The sequence below is a fragment of the Homo sapiens genome, chromosome 17 (assembly GCF_000001405.40).
Source record: "Homo sapiens chromosome 17, GRCh38.p14 Primary Assembly".
NCBI classification, from domain to species: Eukaryota; Metazoa; Chordata; class Mammalia; order Primates; family Hominidae; genus Homo; species Homo sapiens.
Genome location: NC_000017.11, coordinates 81071301 through 81095168, shown reverse-complemented (window position 1 = coordinate 81095168; position 23868 = coordinate 81071301). Strand labels below are relative to the sequence as shown.

The window sequence follows — 23868 nt, the reverse complement described above, 5'->3', positions numbered from 1 at the left end:
CGGCTGCGTGCTTAGCTGGGTGCCATGGCGACAGCACTATGGAAACACCCAGCTGAAAGCATTTAAGACCCACAGAATGCTCCCACTTAGTCACCCTGGGCTGAACAGCCCCGTGATCAGAGAAGACAAAAGTGATCAGAACACATCTCTCCTCTCCGCAGCATGCGGTGACTCAGAGTGGGGGAGGGGCATTCCAGAAAAAACCAAGGCGGCTTTGGTTTACCTCATCCGCCACGGCTGCTGCAGCTTTCCCACGTTCTTTAACCCCCCAGGTCCCCTGCAGCATATGAATGAGAACGTAATTCTTGGCCTTCAGCTGTCACCATGGGTAACACTTACTCGAAAGGATGCGGCTGCGGACCGGTCAGCTGTGGTGTGTGGGGTGAGAATCAGGTGCCCCAAGTAGCACATGGTCACTGGCCACCTGCAGGCTGCAGCCAGTGGCTGCTCTAAAACCCACTGACCAGGCCTCCCAGGCTGATGGGCACGGTACCCAGGCAGAGGAGGGAGGGCAGCATGGCAGGTGGTTAAAAGGAGATGGGAGGACCCTTAAATCTCACGCTGAACACACGTGCTCTGAGCAAGACCCGGGCTGGGCTGAGCAGAGGGTAAGCCGCACCCTCTGGCCCCGGTGGCAGGTGGAAGAGCTGGTCATTCCGCTCCCCAAGGAAGGCATTACAGGAAGATCCTCAGGAAGGGAACAGTGCCACTTTGGCAGGATCAGGGATCCATGAGCCCTGACGGTCCCCATTTTCCTGGGAAAAAGGCCCAGAGCTTTCAGCAGATTGGCAAGGGGTGCCCAGGAACAACAGGTCCCAACAGACCCACAGCTTGGTATTGGGATGGACAGTCTGGTGAGCACATGCCCACGGGCACAGGAGACAGCAGGTCGCTTCTGTCCACACCAGTGGGCTAGACACACAAACAGGCTAGAGGATCACAGACCAAGCTGTCCCCAAGAGCCAGCAAAGGGTTGGCAAGATGCAGGAGAAGTGGGGGCTAAGATGTTCGAGTGGCCCAGCCCTGAGGCTTGGGGAAGCAGAGTGCCCGACCCCTGGCTGCCCTGGCCCCGGGGACACTGAGGGTCCCTGTGTCAGCTGCGGATGCAGAAGCCCTGAGAGGGCTCCGTGGCTCCTGGCTCCTCACACTCCTGTTTTTCCTGGTCAGGACCCCTCAGAGATGTTACTCCAGAGAAACATGGCCACACGGCTGTCCTCACGGGGGTGGTGGGGGGGAGGGGTTGTCCACAGACAGCCTTAGCCTGAAGAGCTTTGTGAAAACGAGGATGGGCTTCACACCCCCCGCACGTCGCCAGACTCCACGCTGGCGATCACCGGCCCTGCTATTATCTTCTCTGAAGATCTGAACGAGGGTGCTTTGTCTCTGCTGTGTTAATTATACACCCTTTAAATAGCACGCATCTCTCCCCTTTCTCAGACCTCAATCCAGGCTATAGGCCTCGCACACCCAGAGATGGGGGGCAGCCGGAGGGGGGATCCTGGGGGCACCAATGCCCCCCACCAGCCCCCTGCATTACAGTGAGCAGAGCACCAGTGCCGCTTCCCAGGACCCCCACGATGATCCTGCCGGTGCTACGGAGCCCCCATGGTCTCTGGGAGGCAGCATCCCCAGGGATGCGGGGCCATCTCTCCCTCCTCACTCACGACCGGCCAGCGAGGGCTGCACCTGCCTCACCTCCCTCCTCCCCCATCATCTCAGAAAGGGAACAGGGGAAGGTAACCCAGCAGAAACCCTGGCTCTCCTTGTAGCCCCGGGCATCTCTGTCCAGAAAAGCCCCAGGAGGTGGTGAGTGGACAGGGCAATGCTACCCTCCTCTGCAGCAGGAGTTTCAGGCCGCTGAGGAAGCCTCCAGAGCTGGCTGAGCAGGGTCGTCCCAGGGCCAGCAAGTCGAGCCCATGCCCAGTGCGATTCTGAGCAGGGGCCCGGCTGCCCCACCCTCAGTGCACATGGGTTAGGAAGGACAAGTTGCATCCAGCGGGCCGGGGCTCCCTCCTCACACTCAGGTCCTCGTGCCCACAGCCCAGCCCAGCCCAGCCCAGCCCAGCCCAGCCCAGCCCAGCCCAGCCCAGGGAGTGGGTGGGCCACTCGCCTCCCACCCTGGGTTCCAGATGCAGGATGGGGCATGTGGACACGTCCCCCGGGCCCTGCTCCCTGCCCCCGAGCGGTGGGCACAGGCTGGGCTCTGCTCTCAGCCCCATTCCGGGCCCTGTGGACACAGCCACACCCCTCTGTTCTAAGGAGGAGCTGGACCAGGCTGTGACCACGCCCCGCGGACACACTGATAAACCCACAGAGAAGGTGTCCCCTGCCCCAGCATGTCCACCGTGCCCCGCGTGGTGTGGAGAACATTCCCTCCAGGCAGACGGGCACGTCTGTCAGCACCTGGCCCAGCAAATGTGGCAACGACCACGGTCCTGGGGAGTGAAGGTGCCGCTGCCCAAGGCCGTCAGGGCGGTGCTCCGGGCCGGGCCCCTTACGTAAAGCTCTCCCGTCCTAGTTAACAAACACCCCAAATGCTTCCTAGCCCCAGTGCCCTGACCTATAACTAAAATTACTTCTTTTCATGGAAATCCCAAAACACCATCTCAATTACAAGCAGTTCTTGAACAACAGGAGGCCCCCGGGCCCAGCCCCGCTCAAGGGCACCCTGGCAGGCAGACAGAGAAATCCACTCTGCCTGCCTCTCTGGGGCAGGGCCTGGCCAACCTCACGCCCACCCCTCCCTGCAGCCCCACCTCTGCCCCCAGGGCCTGGTGTGGTGTGTCCCTGTTTCAGCTCAGGCTGAAGGCCTGGCCGCTGCCACACAATGAGCCCGGCAGTGGAGGCGGGCAGTGCGCATCGGGGGCCTCGGCCTCGTAGGCACCCTGGAGCATGAAGCCGCCCCTCACACGTGCCATGGGCCCAGCCTCGCTGCCCAGCAGCCTCACAGCTCCCAGGAGCCTGGTGCTCCGCATACATGCAGCTCAGGTGGGGTGCAGCTGGCGCCAGGTTTCTGAGCCCACTGGAGACCCCGGCAATCACTTCGAGACACCCAGCTCTTGGGTCGCTGAGGGAACCCACATCTGACAATGACACAGCATGCTACACCCCCAAAGACCAGAGTCAGGCACCAGCCACCACCTCCCCTTCATCAGCGGCAGCTGAGGTGGGGGGCCCTGTAGATGGGGGCGCCCGTCCAGCCCGTGGAGCTGCCTGAACAGCCTCCACCTGCATGCACCACCCACATGGCTGCACCACCAGCCAGGCCCCGGCCAGCTCTAGGCTGCCAGGTGAGGGACATGCAGGGCCAGAGACCCCAGAGGCACTAAAGGGTCTCCAAGGGAAAGGCCTCTGTGGCAGGGGCAGCTTGGGAACCGCAGGGAGGCATCTGCTTCTCTGCTACTCACGCCCCTGGCTGGACACTGGCTTCAGGCCACCCTTGCGTGGGGTCACTTCCACTTCCGGCAGTCCGGCAGCCCCCTCCTGCCCGCTCAAGAAAGCAGCCCCAGGAGCCCGAATGGGCCAGACTCCTGCCCTGCACTCCAACGACGTGTGGGCACACCTGCCTCTCTCAGGGTCTTCAGGATTGGGGACAACTGCTATGGTCGCCAGTGACCCCACAGGGCATACACTGGAGACAGCTAGAAGAGCTGGGGGCAGGCAGGTCCAGGGACCGAGGCAGGGATCTCAAGGGGGCACCGTGAACTATACTCTCTGCGTAGACACCCCCGGGCTGCCCCCAGCATAGGGTGCAGCTGCTGGGCTGGTCTGTAGAACAGCTGGGAAGCAACCAACCGCTTTAGGAATGGAGAGGCCGGTGAAGAGGTCTCTGCTTCCCCCAAGAGTACTTCCAGCAGGCCCTTTCCCTGCAACCAGCAGGACTTCGCTGACAACCTAGGCCCCAGGACAGTAGACCCCGCGAGGCAAGCCAGGAGTTAGGGACAGCTAGGAGGCCTGTGGGGTGGGGTGGGGTGGGGTGGGGCCACATAAATGGGGGTGGGGTGCACTGGAGGGACGGGGCCTCCTGCACCAAGGGGTGGGGCCACACAAGCAAGGGCAGGGCCTCCTGCACCACACAAGTCGGGGCACACAAGTGGGGGCGGGTCCACACAAGTGGGGGCGGGGTGGAATGCACTGGAGGGGCGGGGCTGCACATGAGTAGGCGGGGCCAGCCAGCCCAGTTCCCCAGCCCAGGGTGCTTCCTCTCTTCAGAAGTGGAGAGGACATGCAACAGCTGGGCCCCCAGCGGCCACACCCTAAAGTAGAAGTCCCACAGAGCCCGCTGGCCGGGTTTGCAAAGGCAATGGGAACCAGCAGGAACAGCCCTGGGTGGGGCAAGGGGCCTGGAGCAGCGAGGCCGGCAGCACATCCCAGCCAGGCAGCCACATGGCACTCACCCCAGGATGGTGGCCGCAGCCTCCCCGCAGCTCGGGGGGCGCGTACGCAGCCACATACCAAGTGCCCCACCCCCTCAAACTCCGATGTGGGGCTGGGGATGCTGACGGCTCCGAGGCCTGGCCTCCTGGGCTTCCAGGCCACTGGGGAGCAGAAAGCACACCGGGGTGTGGCTCCCTCTGTTTCCCACCCCAAAATGTTGTTTCGAAACCACTTAGCACTTACTAGCTATCTGCTGCGTGACCAGCTTGTGCTTGGCACCAAGTGGGACGCAGGAGAAATGAGACCTAGCCCTTCCTGAAGAAACTCGGTGACTTGGGAAAAACCACAAAAATAAAACACCTGTGTGGTTAAGAGTTGAAGCCCCGTCTCCCATTGACAGAGGAAGGAGGCGGATGGGGAGGAGCAGAGGCGGAGGTCCGTCCAGGAGAGCCCCCACGCAGGCACCGTGAGAAGGTTGATGTCGGCTCATCCTGGCTCTACAGCCCTTCCCGTCAGTGCTCAGAAGAGGGAGAAAGCCAGGATATTCCCCCTCACAAATGGGGAAACTGAGGCTCAGAGAAGCTCTGGGGCTTGCTGCGGCCACATGACCCATAAGGGACAGAGCCAGATCCAAGCCTAAGCCTGACACCAGGGCCTTGAGGCTGTGCCCAGGTGGGGACAGTCCAGCCTGGGGCCACCCACAGGTCCCCTGGTGAGTGGGGAGGAGCAGCTGCAAGTTCTAGAGAAAGGAGGCTGCTCAGCCAGGGCTGGGGAGCCACAGCAGGGCCCCTGGGACCTGGGAAGAAAGACCAGCACCACACATCTCCCAGGAGGGGCCCTGGGAGGCCGAGAAGATGAGGCTCGCCAAGCGTCTCTGTACCGGGTGGCAGAGGCCTTTCCAAGGGGGCTGCTGGGCCACCCTCACCTCACACCCACTGCAACCTCCACCTACCATGCGCTTCGGGGCCCTGCCTGCCCTCTCCGCCCACATGGTCCCCGCCCAGACCCACTCACAGGTGCTAGGGGGACCATTTGCCTCGGCAACTAGCAGCCACAGATGGGAATGCTGCCCTCATTCCTGACCCTGCCGGGCTCCGGGGTCTGGCCCATCAGGACGCAGACAGCCTGTAAGGCCACGACCCCCTCCCTCTCCCCCTCCGCCTGCCCTCCTGCGGACGAGGGGGGCTTTGTGACGACTGTGGCAGCCGTTGGGAAACAGGTGCTGTGGCTTACTCCCAAAACTGGGTCACCTGGCTTACCACGAAAGGGCACTCAAGGGGCCCCAGGACGGGCCCAGCCACCAGCCACCTTAGTTCTGTTGCCAAATGGTTCAGTCAGCCCCTGGGGCACCCAGCAGCGGCCCCTTGCCCAGACCGTGGACCACAGCACTGAGGCAGGGCCAAGGCCCCTCGAGTCACCGCCAGGTCCAGCCCCCTGTGGCTGCGAATCAGGTGACCCTTGGGCCAGTCAACGAAGGGTCCACCGAGGCACTGGAGGTGGCTCACAGCCCCCATGAGAAGAACAGATGGGACCTGCCTCCAGGGCCCCTGAGGCACCAACATGGTCCCCCAACAGACCTCAAAAGTGCCAGGACATGCAGCAAACAGACAGACCAGCCATCAGCAAGGAGAAGGTCTTCCAAAACCCCTGTGTGGGATGGGCTTGAGGAGCTAGCTGTGCACACACAGCCTCGGGAGTAAATCCCACCACCCGGGGCCCACGGCAGAGCAGCGCGGAGGGCAGGCAGAGGCCAGGTGTGCGGTCAGGGCCCTCCTGAAGAGGCCTGGCAGTGGGAGGCAGGGCACCTGAAAACCAGGGAGCTGGTGCGGCAGGGCCACAGTGACTGCGTGGGGGCCTCAGGCCTCTGGCTCCAGCCTGCAGGAGGGAGGGGGAGTGGCTCCGACAGCCCCCAGCCTCTGCCTTTGTCCGGCCCTATGCTACCCCGCCGCGATCTCCAGCTCCCAGCGAGCTCAGCCACAGGGCAGTACCGGCCGTGCCAGGGAGACGGCCCTGGCCCTGAGCAGGATGGAGCCTCCGGTACCCACACGATGGAACACGATTTAGCCATGAAAAGGAAGAAAGGCTGACCCCCGACAGTAAGAGGGGAGGAGGCTGGCGCAGGCTACGGCACGATGAGCTTTAAGAACCCTCCGTGCCACGTGAGCCACCAGGCACCAAAGGCCGGACACTGTGGGATTCCAGCTACGCAGAATGTCCATAACAGGCAAGTCTACGGAGGCCAATGGCAGGCTGGTGACTGGTGGGGCCAGGGGCCCAGGAGTGACTGCTGATTGAAAAATGCTCTAAAACGGACTGAGTGATGGACACACAGCTGCAAACACTCATAACCACTGGACTGTGCCCGTGAAATGGTGAACTGCTGGTGATGTGAATTATATCTCAAAAACGCTGTTAGCAAAAACCCACAGAGCCTCGAGGGCAGAAGGGAGCTCAAGCTCCTGGACCCCCAGCAGGCAGCTGAGCCCTCAGTGAACTGGCCTCAGTATCCCCATCCCCAGAACACCAAGCTGGGGACATTCCCAGGAAAGTCCCCCTTAAGACAAGCTCTCACACCTGGCCTCGGTGCTCAGGGCTGGCTCACACCTGCACTGTCCTGACCTGCTCGGAGGCGGCTATGGCCCTCCAGGCCGCAGGGGTGCCGTCCGCTGCTTGTCTTCAGAAAGCAAAGTAGCAAAACGTTCCACGGTGGGAGGAAGAAGAAAAACAGACACAGTGTCTACCAACATATACCTATTTCTCCTCCTCAACTCCCCATGCCCACTGCTCAGGTTCTGTTCACAGAAACAGCTTGAGGACGGCTCGCTGCAGCAGCCTCAGGCAGGAATACTAAGGCCACCATGATGGGCCCATCATAGAAAGACCCATGATGGCAGCTTACCCGGAGTGCAAAACGGAAAGGATCAAAAGACCCATCACAGCTTACCTGGAGTGAAAAACAGGATCAAAACAAAGGCTGGGGACACGGGAAGAGGTGGCTGGAGAGGGCAGGGCACCCTAGAGAACGGCCTGAGTTGCGTCCCTGCAACTGTGCACCAAGCATGCCTGAGTGGGAGGCTGCAAACAGCAGCGGGCACCCGAGGGACCCCCAGCTCCCCCGTATGGCTGTTTCCACAGACTCTCACTTATCCTTCTCATCTGCCCCTGGCCTAGTCCCGTCCTCTCCTTTGGGGCCGATCCAGCTCCACCAGGCGACCCCACACTGGAAATCTTCTGGCTTGGTCTGCAGGGTGTGGGCAGACCTGCTTGGCTTCCCTGCAGTTAAGCAGGGAGCGGGGGCACAGGCTCTGAGCAGGAACCGGCCTCCCAGTCCCAGGGCGAGGCCACAGCCACTCATGAGCACCCACATCCGGCACCAAGGAGACGGTCGCACACACACACGCAGACACACGCACACGGGCAGGTGTGTGCGGGGCTTGCCAAGGCTTGAAAACCTGACTGCCAGCAGGAAGGGTGCGGCCTGGAGGCCCGGGCTTCACCCACAGCCACACCTTGCCCACCCCAGGGTGCAGCCCAGAAGCTTCTACCTGGGTGACTGGCCAGGGGTTTTCCTGATGTTTCCTTTACACACGACTGGGCATCTTGTTTTGTGTTTCTTTCTCTTCTGTATCACTATGACCCCAGCAAGTGGGCGAGGGGTTTCTGGGTCTGGCCTGTGTCAGCCACCATCCAGGTTCTGGTGTACACACATCAGGCCGTGCCTGTCATCGGCCAGGCCTTCCTACGTCCCAGCCCACTCAGCACGCAGCACCGGTGACGCCGGCGGGACGGTGAGAGAAACAACACCGAAGCCGCTCCCTCGAGGAACCTGAAGTACCACCTTCCCTCGAGTGGCCAGCCCTGCAGGCGGAGGCCACGACCGCTTAGAGGAACAAACTGGGACCGGACTCCCGGGCAGGGATGGGGAGAACAGAGGGGAGGACTCCATTTAGGTTTCTGCTCCTTCAGCCAAGAACCTTTCAGTGACCCTGGGAGGCTGCAAGAGCAGGACAGAGCCCCACAGGTGAGCCGACCATCCCACCGGCCTGGGGGCGTCAGGCCCACCGCTCCCGAGGTCTACCAGGGACACACAGCCTGCCTCTGTCTGATCGCACCTGGGGGGCTGCTGTCCACTCCCTGTGGACGAGGGGGGCCGAGGGGTGAGCAGTCCCAAGGTGGCAGGAGAGGCACCACAGCGGGGGTGGCGGGCCTACCTGCAGCTCCTTGTCCGAGTACTTCTGAGGATTCTTGCTGCCCTGGCTCTTCTTCCGAAGCTTCTTCAGCTCAGCCTGACACTTGTCCAGGGCGTCGCCTTTGCTCCTTTGCTCAGTCTGGTATTTCTTCAGCGCAGCCTGAGATTCAAACAATAAAACACAAAACCAAGGCCCATGAACCCAACGCAGCGCGGACCACTGGCAGCAAAACCGAGGCCCATGAGCCCAACGCAACGGGGTCCCCTTGCCAGCCCTGCCACTCCCTTCCTGGCTCGCTCTCTGGCCGTGCATGCTCAGCTGCAAATCAGAGTTGGGGAGAGCCCAAATGAAGCCTCAGCCCGACCCCACCCAACCCCATAGCAGCTCTCTGGTCGCCCAAGATGAAAATCACACTTGGAAAAAGTGGCCGAGGCCCACCCCTCCCGCCCACCACTGAGAGCCAGAGGTGACCCTCAAACCCTCAAGCAGTGCCTCAGCCCCAAGCCTTCCTGCCAGCGGACAGGAGTGGCGGTGGGGCAGGACGGGCCGAGAGCCCAGGGAACTGCAGAGGCCAGAGAAGGAGCTCCTGCACTCCCCGGCAGCAGAGTCAGGCACCAGCTTCACCGCAAGTGGCCAAAGCCGGGGCATGGAACCAGGCATGTGGGGCGTCAGAGGCAACGGATTCACCCACAGGTTGCATTTGGGGCACACCAGGGGCACTCGGTCCCAAATGGACAATAAAGTCAGAGCTGGGGCCCATGTGGACGGGGAGCTCGGGGAAGTGGGAAGCCTTCAGGCCGAGGAAGGAGTGGCAGGCATTTGGGAGAGCCGGAGCCCAGGCACAGGGCCCAGCAGGCACGGCCAGGGTGCACTTACACTCAGATACCTGGAGTCCAGCTCCACCTTCTGCTCCAGCTGCGTAAGCAGCTCGTTGTGAAAAGACTTCAGCTGGACATGGAGAGAAAACACATCAGCCGTCAGCTCCAACACATGGACCCGGAACAGGAGGCAGGGCAGGGCTAGAGCGGATGGGCACGAGACACCGGGTGTCCCGGCTGTGCAGGAGGGGCCCCCTCCCCCTGACTGATGAGCTGTGGCCCCGCATGCCCGTGTGCACCCTCTGGAGCCAGGAGCGAGTGCTGAACAGGAGTCTGGAACGTCGGACAATCTCGCCTCCAAACAGCCACAAGGGAAACAAACGGCCATCCCCTCCTTCCTCTGCTGTCCCATGCTGGGGATCACTGCGACACAGGCTGAGAGGTCGCAGGGCCCATGGGCCTGAACTGACACCAGGGTCAGACCCCTGGCTTTAGACAGGATGCTGCAAACCAGCCGCCAGCAACGTGCTCTGGTTGTGTGGGGTCTGCCTCTGCCTACAGTCGGAGAGGCCAGGGGAAGTGTGCCTTGCAACCTTGTGAACCCCAGGAGTGGGGTCTGGCTGGGGCTGCGATCAGGACTCTCCCTGGAGCCCAGCGTGTCATGGCTGCCACTGCAGCCAGTGAAACATGCGGCCGCGGTCTGGCCTGTGCCCTTTTCTCCGACGTCCTCCTTCGAGTGTGGCTTGTGTGCTGAGCCAGGGTCCCTCCCTGCCTCCGAGTGTGGCTGGACAACTGGGACTGTTCCCAAGTGGACACACGGCCAAGGTGTGGCGCCAGCTCTCCCGTCGCACCTGCCCCTCCTCGCAGGGCCACGCTGGGGGTGGACTCACCATTTCTTCCAGCTGATTCTGGATCTGCCTGTGGACTTCAGCCATCTGGAAGAGAACGTCTCCTGGGAAGCAGAACAGCAGAAGGAAGGGGAGGGAGTCAGGTGCTCGCAGTCACCACCGTCATCCCACTCTGGGCTGACAGCCACCCAGGGAAGCCCTGTGACCACAGGCAGCAGGGCCCCCGGGGTGTCAGGGCCAGAAGGGAGGGCGGAGAGGGGACACCAAAAGGAAACAGAAAATTCTAGAATGAGAAGGGACTCCAGACCTCAAATGCACAGCACGCCTGGCATCTTTGGGAGGGAACTTGAGTCTCTGCAAAGGCGAGAGACAGGAAGAGCCCGTGTGTGCTTCACCCCAGGCGTGACAGTGAGTGACAGTGAGCGCAAACACGCGTCCTCATACGCATCCGGCTGTCGTTCGCAGAGACCCAAGAGCTCCGAACCTCCTACCTCAGGCCAGGTGGACAGTCTGCTGACCCCACACCACAGCGCACAAACCTCCTCTGGGGGACACCCATGGGCACACGCTGGTCACAAGCCTCTCTGACTCCAAGACACCTCACTACCCAGGCTGCAGACCCACAGCACCTCTGAGACCTTCACCCAACATCTCCGCTTTGAGCCCCAGAGGAGCGCGGTGGTCTGAGGAGACCTGGCCCCATGGGATAGGCTCACCAGGCAGCCACCCTGGTGCACGCTGGCCTGGGCTCGCCTTGCCATCGCTGAGGGCCCTGGGGACACACGGGCAGCGCTTGGGGACACTGATGTCTCCTCGGCCCGTGTGCAAAATGCAGATTAAGAAATCAAAATCGTGGCGGCACAGGGTAAGCGCCGTCAGAGGCCTTTTGCAGCCTGGACATCAACGAGACCCGGCTCAAGTCCACCTGCGGGGGGGCAGCCCCAGGGGCGCAGGTGTCTGGGCTACCCTGATGTGGGTCTGAGTCCCCCACTCTGTAAGGGCCTCACCACATTGCTGCATCCCTACCTGCTTCCACCAAAGAGAGGGGCACAGAGAGAGGAGCTGAGGGGCCGAGGCCTCGAAGACACAGGAGCACGGCCCACTTCCTTTTCACCCAGATGTTTCCCACCTTCCTCTGCCAAAGCTCCCTCGGAGCTGTGATCCCATTTGAGACATGACCGCCAAGGCCAGCAGGTGCGACCACACCATCAGCCCAGGGGGCTGGCTAGCCGTCCCCAGAAGCGCCCCCAGAGTGCAGCCAGCCTGGGTTCCAGGACCCAGCCCTGATACTCATCAGCAGAGCCCGAGACCCACCCCCCATCAGCACCACATGGGACAGAAGCATGCCACAGCCCCTCAGGGCTGTCCTCCCGCTAACCCTGGAGTTGGTACGAGAGACCCACCCCTGCGGCAAATGGCTCCATTTCCTGGTCTGCAGAGGAGGGGCCGGAACTGGGTGGTCCGGCCCCCGTACTCCTTTGACGGACAAATATTTGCTGAGCTACTGTTTCCAGTGCCAGGCACTGACCACGTGCTGCGGACACAAACAGAGCAGGAGGGCCGCCCCTGCTGCTGGCAGGTCACTCTCGGGTGATTCCTGTCCCTCCCTGAATGGCTGCCTGAAGCAGGACTTTCCTCCTCTGCTGACGTCCAGGCCACCGCCGGTCCCACGCCCCAGAGGGTCCTCTCGCTCCAGCGAGCAGAACCCCCACTAGGATCGCCCAGTGCCCAACAAGTTCAGCCAGAAACCAGAGCAAGGCCCCCGGTGACACGCAGGAAGCCCTAACCGGGCGATGCTGCCTCCCAGGACCACGGCTGGGCTGGCCTTGGGTCACTTCCCCTCCTCAAAGCACAGCTGAGTCTGGCAGAGGAAGCCTCTCCGGGTCCTCTCGCCCTTCCAGGAGCTGCGGGGTTCTTCTCACCATGACCACAGACCCTCTGAGCACTGACCAGGGCCAGGTGCTTCACAGATGTACCTCCCTTTAATCAGCACAACCCACAAGGCCGCCCAGATGAGCAGACAGAGTAGGCCACGTCAGCGGCTGGTGAGTGGCCGCAAAGCCAGGGCCCAACCGCCTGTGCCAGCCTCCACCTCACAGCCATGCCCTCCTCCCGGGTCAGCACACACAGGGCTGCCTCTCGAGCTATCCCAGGCATCTCAGGCACCTCCTGGCCACCCAGACTCCCAAGTCATTCCCGCCCTCATGCTGGCAACTGCTAGGCCTGTTCCCAAAGCCGAACGCTCCGTGTCAGGGGCACAGATTTCTGTGGAGGGAGAAGAGGAAAGGGATTCATGCACCCCTGAGGGGACCCAGAGGTGACAGTCACCTGGCTCCTGTGACACGTGTCCCGCTAAAAGTAGTGCTAGGCCTGGCTGCTTCTCCAGAGAACAGTGCCCAGGGCTGGCAGGATCCCATCCACCGCAGGGCAGGGGTGGGGGACGCACAGAGCCCCGGGCTTGGCTTCCCTTTCTGGGAAGATACGGAAGGGCTGCCTGGCACACAGTTGCTCACCCTCTGCCTGCGAAGATGACATGCCTGGGCCTGGCCACCGTGAAGAGGGATTCAGCGTGAGGAAAGCAGCACTGCAGACCCCGGGGAGGTATCACATATGTGTGCGGGCATGAGCACATATGTGCGTGCATGTCTACCTATGTGAGTGGGCACGCACAAGCGTGAACCGTACACGGGTGTGCTTATGCGGGTGAGCATGTGTGTGTGGCTGTGTGTGCCTGGCCGTGACCCGAGTCTCCCTCCACTCTCACAGCCGCCCTGGATGCCGCTACCCACTCTGGCCACAACCACAGGGCTCACGGGGACGACAGGTAGGTCATGCTGGATCAGTCTCCAGGACCACGCTGGCCCCGGGGCCAGGAGGGAGCAGGACAGGCAGACACAGACCCCAGAGCCCAGGCCCTGCCACACACAAACCACCTAAGACGCGCCCTGGCACACCCAGTACCTCCACGGATGCCAGCCCCAGCCCTGGCCCAGGGGCCTGCCCCTGCCTGGAAATCACTTCCACCGGCTCCAACCATGGGTGTGACTGCCTGGTCCCTGCTGTGTGGCCCTGTGGAGTGGGGCAGGGCCCAGCGATGGCCCCCTGGGGCTGCACTGCGGTCAGGAGGGAGCTGCACCACTGCGGTGGCCTCTCACGGTCGGGATGAAGTCGAGACCTCTGGGGATCAGCGGCAAACCACACAGACGGGTGGGGTGGGGGCAAGTCTAAGGTTTACCAGCCTCGGCAGGAGAGGACATGGGCCCTACCCCAGGCTCACTCGACCTAGGGTTCAAGGTGTGCAGGGAAGGGATCAAGGACAAAGAGGACAGAATTTGGTATAAAGGAGCCTGGCTGAAGGGAAGCCACTTGGACGTGAGCAGGCGCTGCCCAGGGCAGGGGAGGAGACGGGAGCACGGCCAGCAGCACAGACCCCACAAGAGAGGGAACCCCAGCTAGGGCTGGCACAGGCCCACAGCCACGTGGCCCCTCCACCATCCACCCTGGGTGGCCAAGATGCTGCCAGCCTGGCAGGACACCATCCTACGAGCCAAGGACAGCAGACGCAGGAAGCTTCAGGCCGGGGGCAGACTGCCCTGTGCTGAGGAGCAGGATCAGGAAGCCTGAGACGGTGGGACCCCGGGGGAGGCAGCTCCAGGGCTCCTCGTGCTTCTCGGCGTTCTTTGGCATCCTATAAATTCCCAGGATGGACACCACGACCTCTGGGCTCAGGAAGCCTCCAGGGAACTGTCCTGCGGTTTTCATGGTGTTCCTGTGACTGAGGATCCTGGATCCACCTCCCAGCTCTCGGGCCCCTTGGACACTGGGAACTGGCTTCAGCCGAGTTGGGGTGGCAGGTGACAACAGGCACAAGGTCTGGCCTGAGAGGGGGAACCCACCCAAGCCTGTGCCCTGGCCAGTGCTCCCTCAGCCCCGGAGTGTCCACACGCACCCAGCCTTTGCGAGGTCGCCGGCCCCCTATCCTGGCGTGGGGGCCAGCAAGTTCACAAAGAGGTGAAGCAAAAGGCCCAAGACAACTCAGCTGAACTCTTCACGGCTCTTGCCATATCCCATTTTTTTTATTTTTTGAGATGGGGTCTCACTATGTCACCCAGGCTGGTCTCCAACTCCTAGGTTTCTGTGATCCTCCCACCTCAGCCTCCCAAGTAGCTGGGAGCAAAGGCATGCAGCACCGTGCCTGGTTCCCGCCACATTCTGCAGCCCCAAATTATAAGTGAATGTCAAGACCAGATAACAAGCACGTGTTCCCCTAAAAGGCTACACACAATGGAGTCAAGAGGAACATCTGGAAGACAACAGCCAACAACAAATCCTTTGAAAAAGGGACTGCTGAATCCAAAAAGAAAAAGAGTATGTGGAGCTTCTCAGGGGGTTCTGGCCAGGTGACGGTCATCACCACCCGCCCGTGCAGCTGCAGCACTCAAATGTGCACCCCAGCATCCCCGCCAGCCCGAGCCCCCAGCCCCACAATGTGCGGCTGGCGCACACACAGGGGAGGTCCAGGCAAAGCTGCACAGACCAGGCGTGTGCCCGCCCTGAGCTTCGAGCGGCGGCTGCACAAAATCATCCCATGCCTTGAATTTTTAAACTGCACCTTACAGGCAGCTGCAGGAAACCACGTGGGCATGGAGTGTGAATGTGTCCGGCCACCAGCACTTAACCCCCAGGGTGCCGCAGGCGCCCCAGCCGGGAGCATGAGTGTGTGCAGCCACCAGCGCTTAACCCCCGAGGTGCCAGCTGGAAGGACGGGGCACATGGAGCACCAGGCCCCTAAGGAATGCCAAGACCCTAAGATCAGCAGTGAGAGGCACCGGTAGGGGCAGTGAGTTCCGCTGAGCAACTAAGTCTTGTCCGCGGTTGCCTGTGTCCTTCAGGGGCCTGAAGACGGAGTAGCGAGGGCTCCACAGCCGTTGAGAGCCTCCCTTGGGGTGAGACGTGAGGCCATGCGTTCTCGGGCTCCCTCATCTCTTCATCTCTCCACACTCCCTCCCATGCGGCGGGCAGACTTACCCAGGCCCACCCTGCTGAGGGACAGGGTGTGCCAGGCTTCCTAAGCAGCCTCACCTATCAGATGCCCCCCACTCACTGGGAGGCCCACGTCTGGTCCACAGCACAGGTGGGACCTTAACTCTAAAGACGAGGTTCAAATGTAAGCTGAGTGCCAGCGGGCCAGGGCACACAGCACATGAGCCAGAACAGACCGGCAGAGCCGTCGCCATCAGAAGGATCCGGGGATCTGGGGTGTTGGGGGTGATGGAAAGCAGGTGGCCACGCCTCAGGATGTAGGTGTGGGAGTGCAGCAGCGTTGCACCCAGGCTGATGGGTCAGCCAACTCTGGGCAGCTCACCCCACCAGCCCAGGGCTGCCTAGGGATGCTGGGGAGTGAGGAGGAGGAGGAGCATCGGAGGGCTAGAAAGGGGGCACACATGGGTGTCACGGGTGATGTGTCTACACAGTCATCCTGAAAACGAGGCCTCTCTCTTTTCAACCACCTACCAATGCACCGTGATGAGTGAAGCAGCAGCCGGTCCACACTGGGGTCACCGTGGGCCTCACCCCACCAGCTCTACCTCCACCTCAGACGGGGCGGTCGCCAGGCTAAGAGTGAAACCCGCTCCACGGGACTGCCTGTGACCAGGGAGCCCAGCCTCCTGTGGACAGGTCTGAGCGCAGCTGATGGGGACAGGGCTGCCTCAAGACCCCGGCTGGGCCCCTGCTCCCCAGCAAGGAAAACAGCACCTGAGTCAGGTGAGGCTGAGGAACCCAGGCCCCAGGCATGCCCGGCCAGCATCTTTCTGTCCTCGGGTTGGTTCTGCTTGGGCGCAGCACCTGGCGGAGAGGGCCCTTTCCATCTGCTGAGTCCCCAGCTCCTTTCTGGAATCCCAGCAGAGATCGGTGAGACCCCACAACTGCCCTCCATCTCTCCTGCAGGCTGAGCCTGGTCTCACTCCCCCCAGGTCTTACCCCAACCAGCATGGGACTATCACCCCACTTTGCAGGGGAGAGACCTGACACCCCCACAGCTCAAAGGTGACTCGGGGCTGAGCAGGCTGGAGGTCAAACACCCCAAAACTCAGGAGCCCTGAGAGCTTCCAGAGGCTGCATCCTCAAGATCTGCTGCCAGCCTGGAGCAGCAGAGAGCACAGCCAGAGAGGAGCGGAGGCTGCAGTACAGGAAGGCAGACGCCCAGCTCCCACCCGAGATGACACCAACAGCCGCAAACACGCCCAGCTCCCACCCGAGACAGCACCCGCACCCACAGCACCCAGCTCGGAGATGGCACCTGCACCCACAGAGCCCGGCTCCCACCCAATACGGCACCCGCACCCACAGCACCCAGCTCGGAGATGGCACCTGCACCCACAGCGCCCGGCTCCCACCCAATACGGCACCCGCACCACAGCACCCAGCTCCGAGATGGCACCTGCACCCACAGCGCCCGGCTCCCACCCAATACGGCACCCGCACCCATAGCACCCAGCTCCGAGATGGCACCTGCACCCACAGCGCCCGGCTCCCACCCAATACGGCACCCGCACCCACAGCACCCAGCTCCGAGGTGGAACCTGCACCCACAGCGCCCGGCTCCCACCCAATACGGCACCCGCACCCACTGCATCCAGCTCCGAGGTGGAACCTGCACCCACAGCGCCTGGCTCCCACCCAATACGGCACCCGTACCCACAGCACCCAGCTCCGAGGTGGAACCTGCACCCACAGCATCCGGCTCCCACCCAATACGGCACCCGCACCCACAGCATCCAGCTCCGAGATGGCACCTGCACCCACAGTGCCCGGCTCCCACCCAAGACGACACCCGCACCGGCACCCAGAGTGCCCAGATCTAAGATGGCACTGGCACCCACAGTGCCTGGCTCCCACCCAAGATGGCACCCGCACCTGTGCCCACAGCACCCAGCTCCGAGGTGGAACCTGCACCCACAGCGTCCGGCTCCCACCCAATACGGCACCCGCACCCACAGCATCCAGCTCCGAGATGGCACCTGCACCCAGAGTGCCCAGATCTAAGATGGCACTGGCACCCACAGTGCCTGGCTCCCACCCAAGATGGCACCCGCACCTGTGCCCACAGCACCCAGCTCCGAGGTGGAACCTGCACCCACAGCGCCCGGCTCCCACCCAAAACGGTACCCACACCTGCACCCGCACCCACGGTGTCTGGCTCGCACCTGAGACGGCACCCGCTCCCACAGCCACCCGCATACTCAGCACCACCAGCCTCAGGACGGGCGGGAAGCCCAAGCATCCGTCCTCCCAGCATTAGGCTCTTTTTTTAAAATTGAGAAAAATTCACATAACATAAAATTCACCATTTTTACTTTTTTTTTTTTTTGAGACAGAGTCTCTGTCACCCAGGCTGAAGTACAGTGGCACTATCTCGGCTCACTGCAACCTCCGCCTCCCGGGTTCAAGTGATTATCCTGCCTCAGCCTCCCGAGTAGCTGGGACTGCAGATGTGCGCCACCACGCCCAGCTAATTTTTGTATTTTTAGCAGGGACGGGGGTTTCACCGTGTTGGCCAGGCTGGTCTCAAACTCCTGACCTCAGGTGATCCACCCACCCCGTCCTCCCAAAGTGCTGGGATTACAGGCGTGAGCTGCCATGCCCGGCTAAGAAATTGGGACTGTGGCCGGTGTGGGGATCGAGTCCACAACTGTGGCATCGTCAGCATCATGCGCTCACCAGTTGAGCTAGCTGACTGCCCGGACACTTTCATCACCCCGAAGAGAAACCCACGCCCACCAGGAGTTGCCCCCTAGCTCCGGGAACCAGTCTCACGGCATCTCTGTGGAGCGGCCTATTCCCAACACTTCAATCACTGCAATCACACATGACCCTCTACATTTGGCTTTTCTCCCTGGGCACAATGTCTTCAAGCTCCATCCATGGTGCAGCCTGCCTCAGAGTCTCCTTCTTGTCTTTTTAGAGCCAGGGGTCTCACTCTGTCACCAGGCTGGAGTGAAGTGCCACAATCATGGCTCACTGCTGCCTCCAACTCCTGGGTTCGAGGGATCCTCCGGCCCCAGCCTCTCGAGGAGCTGGGACTACAGGGGTGTGCCACCATGCCCAGATCATTTTTAAGATACTTTTGTAGACATGGGGTCTCACTATGTTGCCCAGGCTGGTCTTGAACTCCTGGGATCAAGTGGACTCCCAAAGTGCTGGGATTACAGGTATGAGCCACACCCAGCCTGTCCTTTGTGGTTGAATACAACTTCACCCTATGGATACACGAGGCGTTTCTGCCGGCATCCACTGAGAGGTGCGGGCTGTTTCCCATGTGGCCTTTTGTAACAGTGCTGCTGCAAGAACAGCTCTTTCAGAAGCAGCTTCAGGGGATGACAGCCCTGAGCCCCACCTGCACACCATCTGTCTTCCTGATGTGTGTTCTGGAGGTATTCTCGCCTGCTTATAGCCGAAATGTCTCCTGGCAAGCACAGCCCCGGGGAGCAGAGCAAACTGCGGCGTCTCACCGGCTGCCAGCACCCTTGACCTTTTGGGAGGTCAGAACATCAGGGCTCTCTCAAGCATCCTCCACAACCTAGACGGGGCCTCCGTTGATGGAGAGGCGGAGCTCAGTGAGCCCCTCCCAGGTGTCCATCTGCCATCTCCTGTCTGCCCCAGGCTAGACCTGGTCCACAGGGAAGATAAAGCAAGAATGAGTTAAGCTGCAGATGGTTAAGCTTAAAATGAGTTAAGCTGCAGATGGTAACAGGGATTGATTCTGGAAGGACTGTGCCTCCCGGCAGGACCTGAGACTCGGCACTCCCCCCAGCCAAGCAGCCAGGCCTCTCAGGCTGTACTCTGGGGAGCCCCTGCCTCACTGCCCCTGACCCCAGCAGGAGCTGGCTTCTACCAAACCTCAGGATTACTAGCAAGAGGGAACACCCGGGTGCAGGCACTTCTGCTTCTCTGCGTTATGCATTTTATTCATCACCACTACAAAAAAAAAAAAAAAATTCCCAGCAGACCCAAAAAAGTATACACAGACCCTGGCAGAACCTCCGTGCCAGGACAGAGATGGCAGTGCCCAGCTGGCCTCATATGGAGCCTGTGGCTGGCCAGTGCAAAGGCTGGGCAGTACTGGGGGCCCCAATGTGCCCACGGAGGGGAGGAGCAGGACTTGAGGCCCACCAAAGGCTGCCATAGTGTTCTAAGTGGCCCCTACCTGGGGGAGAAGGGCACAGAGGGAGTGTGGTGATACGCGTAGCACTGAAAGGGTTAAAGGCAAGGAGGGCTGGTGGACAGGTGGAGGTAGGGTCCTTGGAGAGGGTCACTCAGGACGCTCTCAAAGGAGCACCCCACAAGGTTAGGGCCACAAGGAGGCAGGCACTGCTCTGACACAGCCGCGTCTAGTGAGCAGATGAACGAGAAGGATTAACTGCTCATCCCTGAAGACAGCACGGCATGCAAGCGGCCCACAGGAAGGGAGCCCACCGGAAGGCGGCCCACTTGAGGCGACGGCCGAGCTCCTTCCGATCGCTTCACACGATTCAAAGATTGAGGCCAAACCGGGGATGCCCTGGGTGGTCATCTGCTGAGCCCAGGAGACTGGGAGGGCTGGGGAGACCAGAAGCACAGGGGAAGGGATGGGGAGGGAGGTGAGGATGGTCCCGGAAGAGAGAGGGCAGCAAGGAAGTGCCACAAGATGCCCCAGACCCAGCACAGGCGCAGACCTGGCCGCCGGCTTGAAATCACAGGCACCAGGAAGTTTCCCCCAATGCCAAATGTGGGCACAGCCGGAATGCAAATGTGGCTGGAGACAGCTCTGTGGGTGAGCTGAGCCGAGGCTGGCTTCACAACCACACCCAGGGGTTCCCACGAATGGCTCTGGCTCAACACAGTGGGAAGGTGAAGGAGACAGAAAGCACTGTCAGTCATGGCTTTGCCAAGCCCATTCTTCCCTGTGGTTTAGAAAACAGAACTACATTATTCTCTTCCCAGCCCAACCTTTCCAACCTGGAGAGAAGTTGCAGGGATAGCAGAGCAAACACCCATTCACTTCGCCGAGGTTCCCTGGCGGTGTGCTTTGCCACAATCGCTTCACCACTCTTTCTGTGATGTATAGGTACACCCACATGCACTCACACGCATCCGTACATGCACACAGACACACAGGCACTTATGCATCCGTGCACACACACAGGCACTCACACGCATCTGTGCACGCACACAGACGCACAGACACGCATCCGTGCATGCACACACACAGGCACTCATACGCATCCGTGCACGCAGACACAGAGGCACTCAACGCATCCGTGCACGCACACAGGCACTCACGCATCCGTGCACGCACACACAGGCACTCACACATCCATGCACGCACACGAACAGGCACTCACACATCTGTGCACGTGCACACACACAGGCAACTCGTACGCATCCATGCACGCACAGACACAGGCATTCACATGTATCCGTGCATGCACACACACTGGCACTCACATGTATTTGTGCATACACACACGTACTCACACGCATCCATGCACGCACACCAGCACTCACGTATCCGTGCACGCACACACAGTGACACATGTACCAGTGCACGCACACTCACACGTATCCGTGCATGCACACACACCGGCACTCACACGTATCCATGCATGCACACAGACACACAGGCACTTTTTTCAGCCCCTTGAGACTCAACTGCAGACATCAGACAATGTGATGCTGCCCCTGCCCCCAATACTGCAGCTGTGTCCTAAGAGCAAGGACCTTCTCTGCCTCATCACGCCTCCATTGTGACACACAGGAAGGTTACCACAGACGCATCCTCCTCTCATCAACAGCACACACCATGCTCCTGAATGGCCCGACGATGCCATTGACAAGCTCCTCCCTGATCCAGGTTCTCATCAAGGGTCCCGCTGTGTTGCGTTGGCACGTGGCTTTAGTCTCTCTCATTTTAGGAAAACAAATCAGCATTCCACCTATTGGAAGACTGCTCCATAAGCACTTGAGACAAATAAGTGATACACGGGCTTAACCGTGAGCGACAAGGAACTGGCGCCTGCCAGCTCCCAGAGGACTCTCACCCTTCCTCTGGGGCGCTGGGCATCTTTAGTCCTTTAACCTAGAAGAGCCCCTCACACTTCGGCTTTCACAACAGTGACATTTTAAAGATTTGTGCCTTTTTTTACTCCAGAAAATACAACGTGTTCTTATAGTCTGCGAGTGACAAGAACCTGAGAGAGAGCGTGAATCTCAGAGACAGTGAAAAAGACTGGGGGAGGGAAGAGCCTGGGCCTCGGATGCTCTCAGCCCAGGGTTGGAGGCAGATCTGTGCAGATCGTCGTCCTCATCTGCGAGGGCAAACAGCAGCTCAGACCCTGCCCGAGGGTCCCCAAATGCTTGACTCCGAATCCCAAATGGAGCATAAACAGCATTTCATGATGATTTCAGTTAACACTCTGCTTAGTCAGTTAAAAGATCATTTCTACCAAAGCACGGCCCGAGACCAGCTTGGTGACTGCTCCCAGGAAGAAGGCTGGCGGCCCTGGCTGAGCCCAGGGTGAGGGGAGCAGCACAGCCTCCACCTCCCCACCCCGGCCTGGTACTCCTACAAACCAAGAGGTCCGAGTATCTGAAAGGCACCCCAGGTGGTAAAAGTTCTGAACTCCTGGGTAACCAAGAGACTGCACAGGAAGCTGGGACCACAGTGGTGGGGAAGGTCCGAGAAGGAGGCTTCGATCTCTGAGGAGCAGGGGTGCTGAGCCCTGGCATGGGGAGGGGCCGCTGGAGGGTCATGGGGACAGAAGGCCCCACGCCACCTACGAAGAGAGCTTCAACCCACTGGGGCCACCAGGGCCCCAGAGCAGGTACCCTCCACCTGCTACCTGTCTGCTGGCTGGGGGTCATCCTGGAGGTGACAGGCACCCAATACCCAGGGCTGTGGGAAGGGGCTCCAGGCCAGATGCCATTTTCTCATCAGGGAAGCGTGCATGTTTGTACCCGGCACCCGGGATTAAATCAGTAAGATGCAGGCTCATGACCACAGACAATGAGGTCCGTGAGGCCCACGGGACAGCCCGGCCCCAGAGCAAGGACTGGGGGTGTGTTCACCTGCTCAGCAGACAGCCCCACTCTGACACCAATGGCCCCTTCTCATACACCCACCTCCAAGCAGAGGACGCTGGGCGAAGAGGTCAGGAAAAATGAAAGAAAGGCAGAGCCTGCCAGACAGCGTCCGCCCGCCTGTGCTCAGAGTGGGAGGCGTGGCCTCTGGGCGCAGGTGTCTGCAAAGGTTGAAGACCCCACGGACTTGGGTCAGCACCTGCCAGAGCTCTCCCAGGAGGGTTAGCCTCCTTCTCGGACAGGGGCCAGGAATTCAGGAAATGCCAGGTTCGGGTGGGGACGTGGAGACGGCTGTGAGGCTGTGGCCCAAGTGGGGCCTGGAGCAGATCGTCTGCTCTTGGCACCAAGGTGAAACTGACGAGTGTGGGCGTCAAACAGGGCAGGAGAGTTTTCCACTGGACCCTGAGAAGTGCTCAGGTGGCCACAAGGCATGGACATAGGGACACTGAGGAGAGCCCCTCCTGTTCCCTGATTACATGGGTCAGGCCGGGCTGCGCAGGAGGAGGTGAAGGAGCAGGAAGCCGGAGGGAATCAAGGAACATTGTTGTGGACTGAGGTGGGGCCTGCGCAGGTCTCCCAACGCTGCCCTGGGGCACTCCAGCCATCTGGGAAAAGGGAGTGGCAGCCCTTGGGCAGGTGGAATGCAGATGGCCCAGCCCACCCTCCCCAAGCTTCTGAGGGCTGGAGCCAGCCGGGGAGGGCACGGCACCCACAGCCCGCAGGGAACCCCAGCCCTACGTGGGCGCTCGAAGGAGGAGCAACAGGACCAACACAACCACGATGATGGCCCAAGAGACTGGGAAGGCCGGGGAGGCCGGAAGCAGAGGGGGAGGGGGGGATGATCACGGACGAGAGGAGAGGCAGCAAGGAAATGGAACAAGATGCCCCAGACTCTGCAGAGGCATAGACCTGCATGCTCCGGCGCCTCCGTGCCACGCTGGAGGAGGGGACCGGCCACCCACAAGGCCCTACTTGGCGTGGGAACTGCTCCAATTCTCGGCTGCCTCCTGGACAGAGCTCGGATGGCAGAATGTGAGCCACAGCAGCTCGTGGCGGTGCGGGATGGTGCGGAGAAGGCATCCGACCCCCGCGCTGAGTCTGCCGGGAGCTGGACGTGAGTCCCTCAAACAGAGGCTCAGGGACGGACGGGCGCTGCTACCGAGTGGTCAGGGTGCTCTTTTTGGCCAGTGGACACTGAGGGCACAGAAACACTCGTTTCCTGGATATTTCTGTTGCTTCCGGAGGCACTGGAACTCTTCTCCTTTCTCTGCTGGTGGAAGAGGGGCTCTGTGCGAGAGGTCAGCTGCTCCAAGCTGGCTGTGAGCATGCATCACCTTCCAGAGCCTTCTGAAGTAGCTATCCACAACTCTCAATTATCCTGGTGGCTTCCAGAGCCCAAAGGCACCTCGAGAGCTCATCACCACCCACCTGGGCAGGGCTCGAACAGAGCGCCCTCATCACGGGGAAGGACAGATGGCCAGGGGGCTGACAGGACATCTTGCTATCAGAGCCCCC

The 23868-nt window shown here is 61.0% G+C and overlaps 1 protein-coding gene across 49 annotated transcripts in view, besides 3 other annotated features; it reads right to left on the bottom strand.

Moving 5' to 3' along the window:
- The window catches only part of BAIAP2 (BAR/IMD domain containing adaptor protein 2), an 82284-nt gene that overhangs the window by 22266 nt on the left and 36150 nt on the right, over window positions 1-23868 (bottom strand). For 31 of the 49 annotated variants that reach the window (NR_169579.1, NR_169574.1, XM_011524193.2 and 28 more), the window contains 3 exons: window positions 10276-10337; window positions 9444-9515; window positions 8589-8726 (listed from right to left, as the gene is read on the bottom strand). Coding sequence is in view for 39 of the 49 variants with exons in the window: in XM_011524193.2 (XP_011522495.1) it covers window positions 8589-8726; window positions 9444-9515; window positions 10276-10337 (272 nt within the window). In the remaining 10 variants the exon portion in view is untranslated. The other 18 variants (XM_017024018.2, NM_001385151.1, NM_001385154.1 and 15 more) reach the window with 8 other exon arrangements.
- Window positions 46-340: an enhancer, noted in NCBI's record as "tiled region #8367; K562 Activating non-DNase unmatched - State 5:Enh". NCBI's record gives its function as "activates a minimal TATA promoter and a strong SV40 promoter by Sharpr-MPRA in K562 cells {active_cell/tissue: K562}" and the evidence as "EXISTENCE:reporter gene assay evidence [ECO:0000049][PMID:27701403]".
- Window positions 1211-2101: an enhancer, noted in NCBI's record as "H3K4me1 hESC enhancer chr17:79066868-79067758 (GRCh37/hg19 assembly coordinates)". NCBI's record gives its function as "activates a minimal SCP1, AML or CMV promoter by ChIP-STARR-seq in primed H9 embryonic stem cells {active_cell/tissue: H9 hESC(primed)}" and the evidence as "EXISTENCE:reporter gene assay evidence [ECO:0000049][PMID:30033119]".
- Window positions 4937-5438: an enhancer, noted in NCBI's record as "H3K27ac-H3K4me1 hESC enhancer chr17:79063531-79064032 (GRCh37/hg19 assembly coordinates)". NCBI's record gives its function as "activates a minimal SCP1, AML or CMV promoter by ChIP-STARR-seq in naive H9 embryonic stem cells {active_cell/tissue: H9 hESC(naive)}" and the evidence as "EXISTENCE:reporter gene assay evidence [ECO:0000049][PMID:30033119]".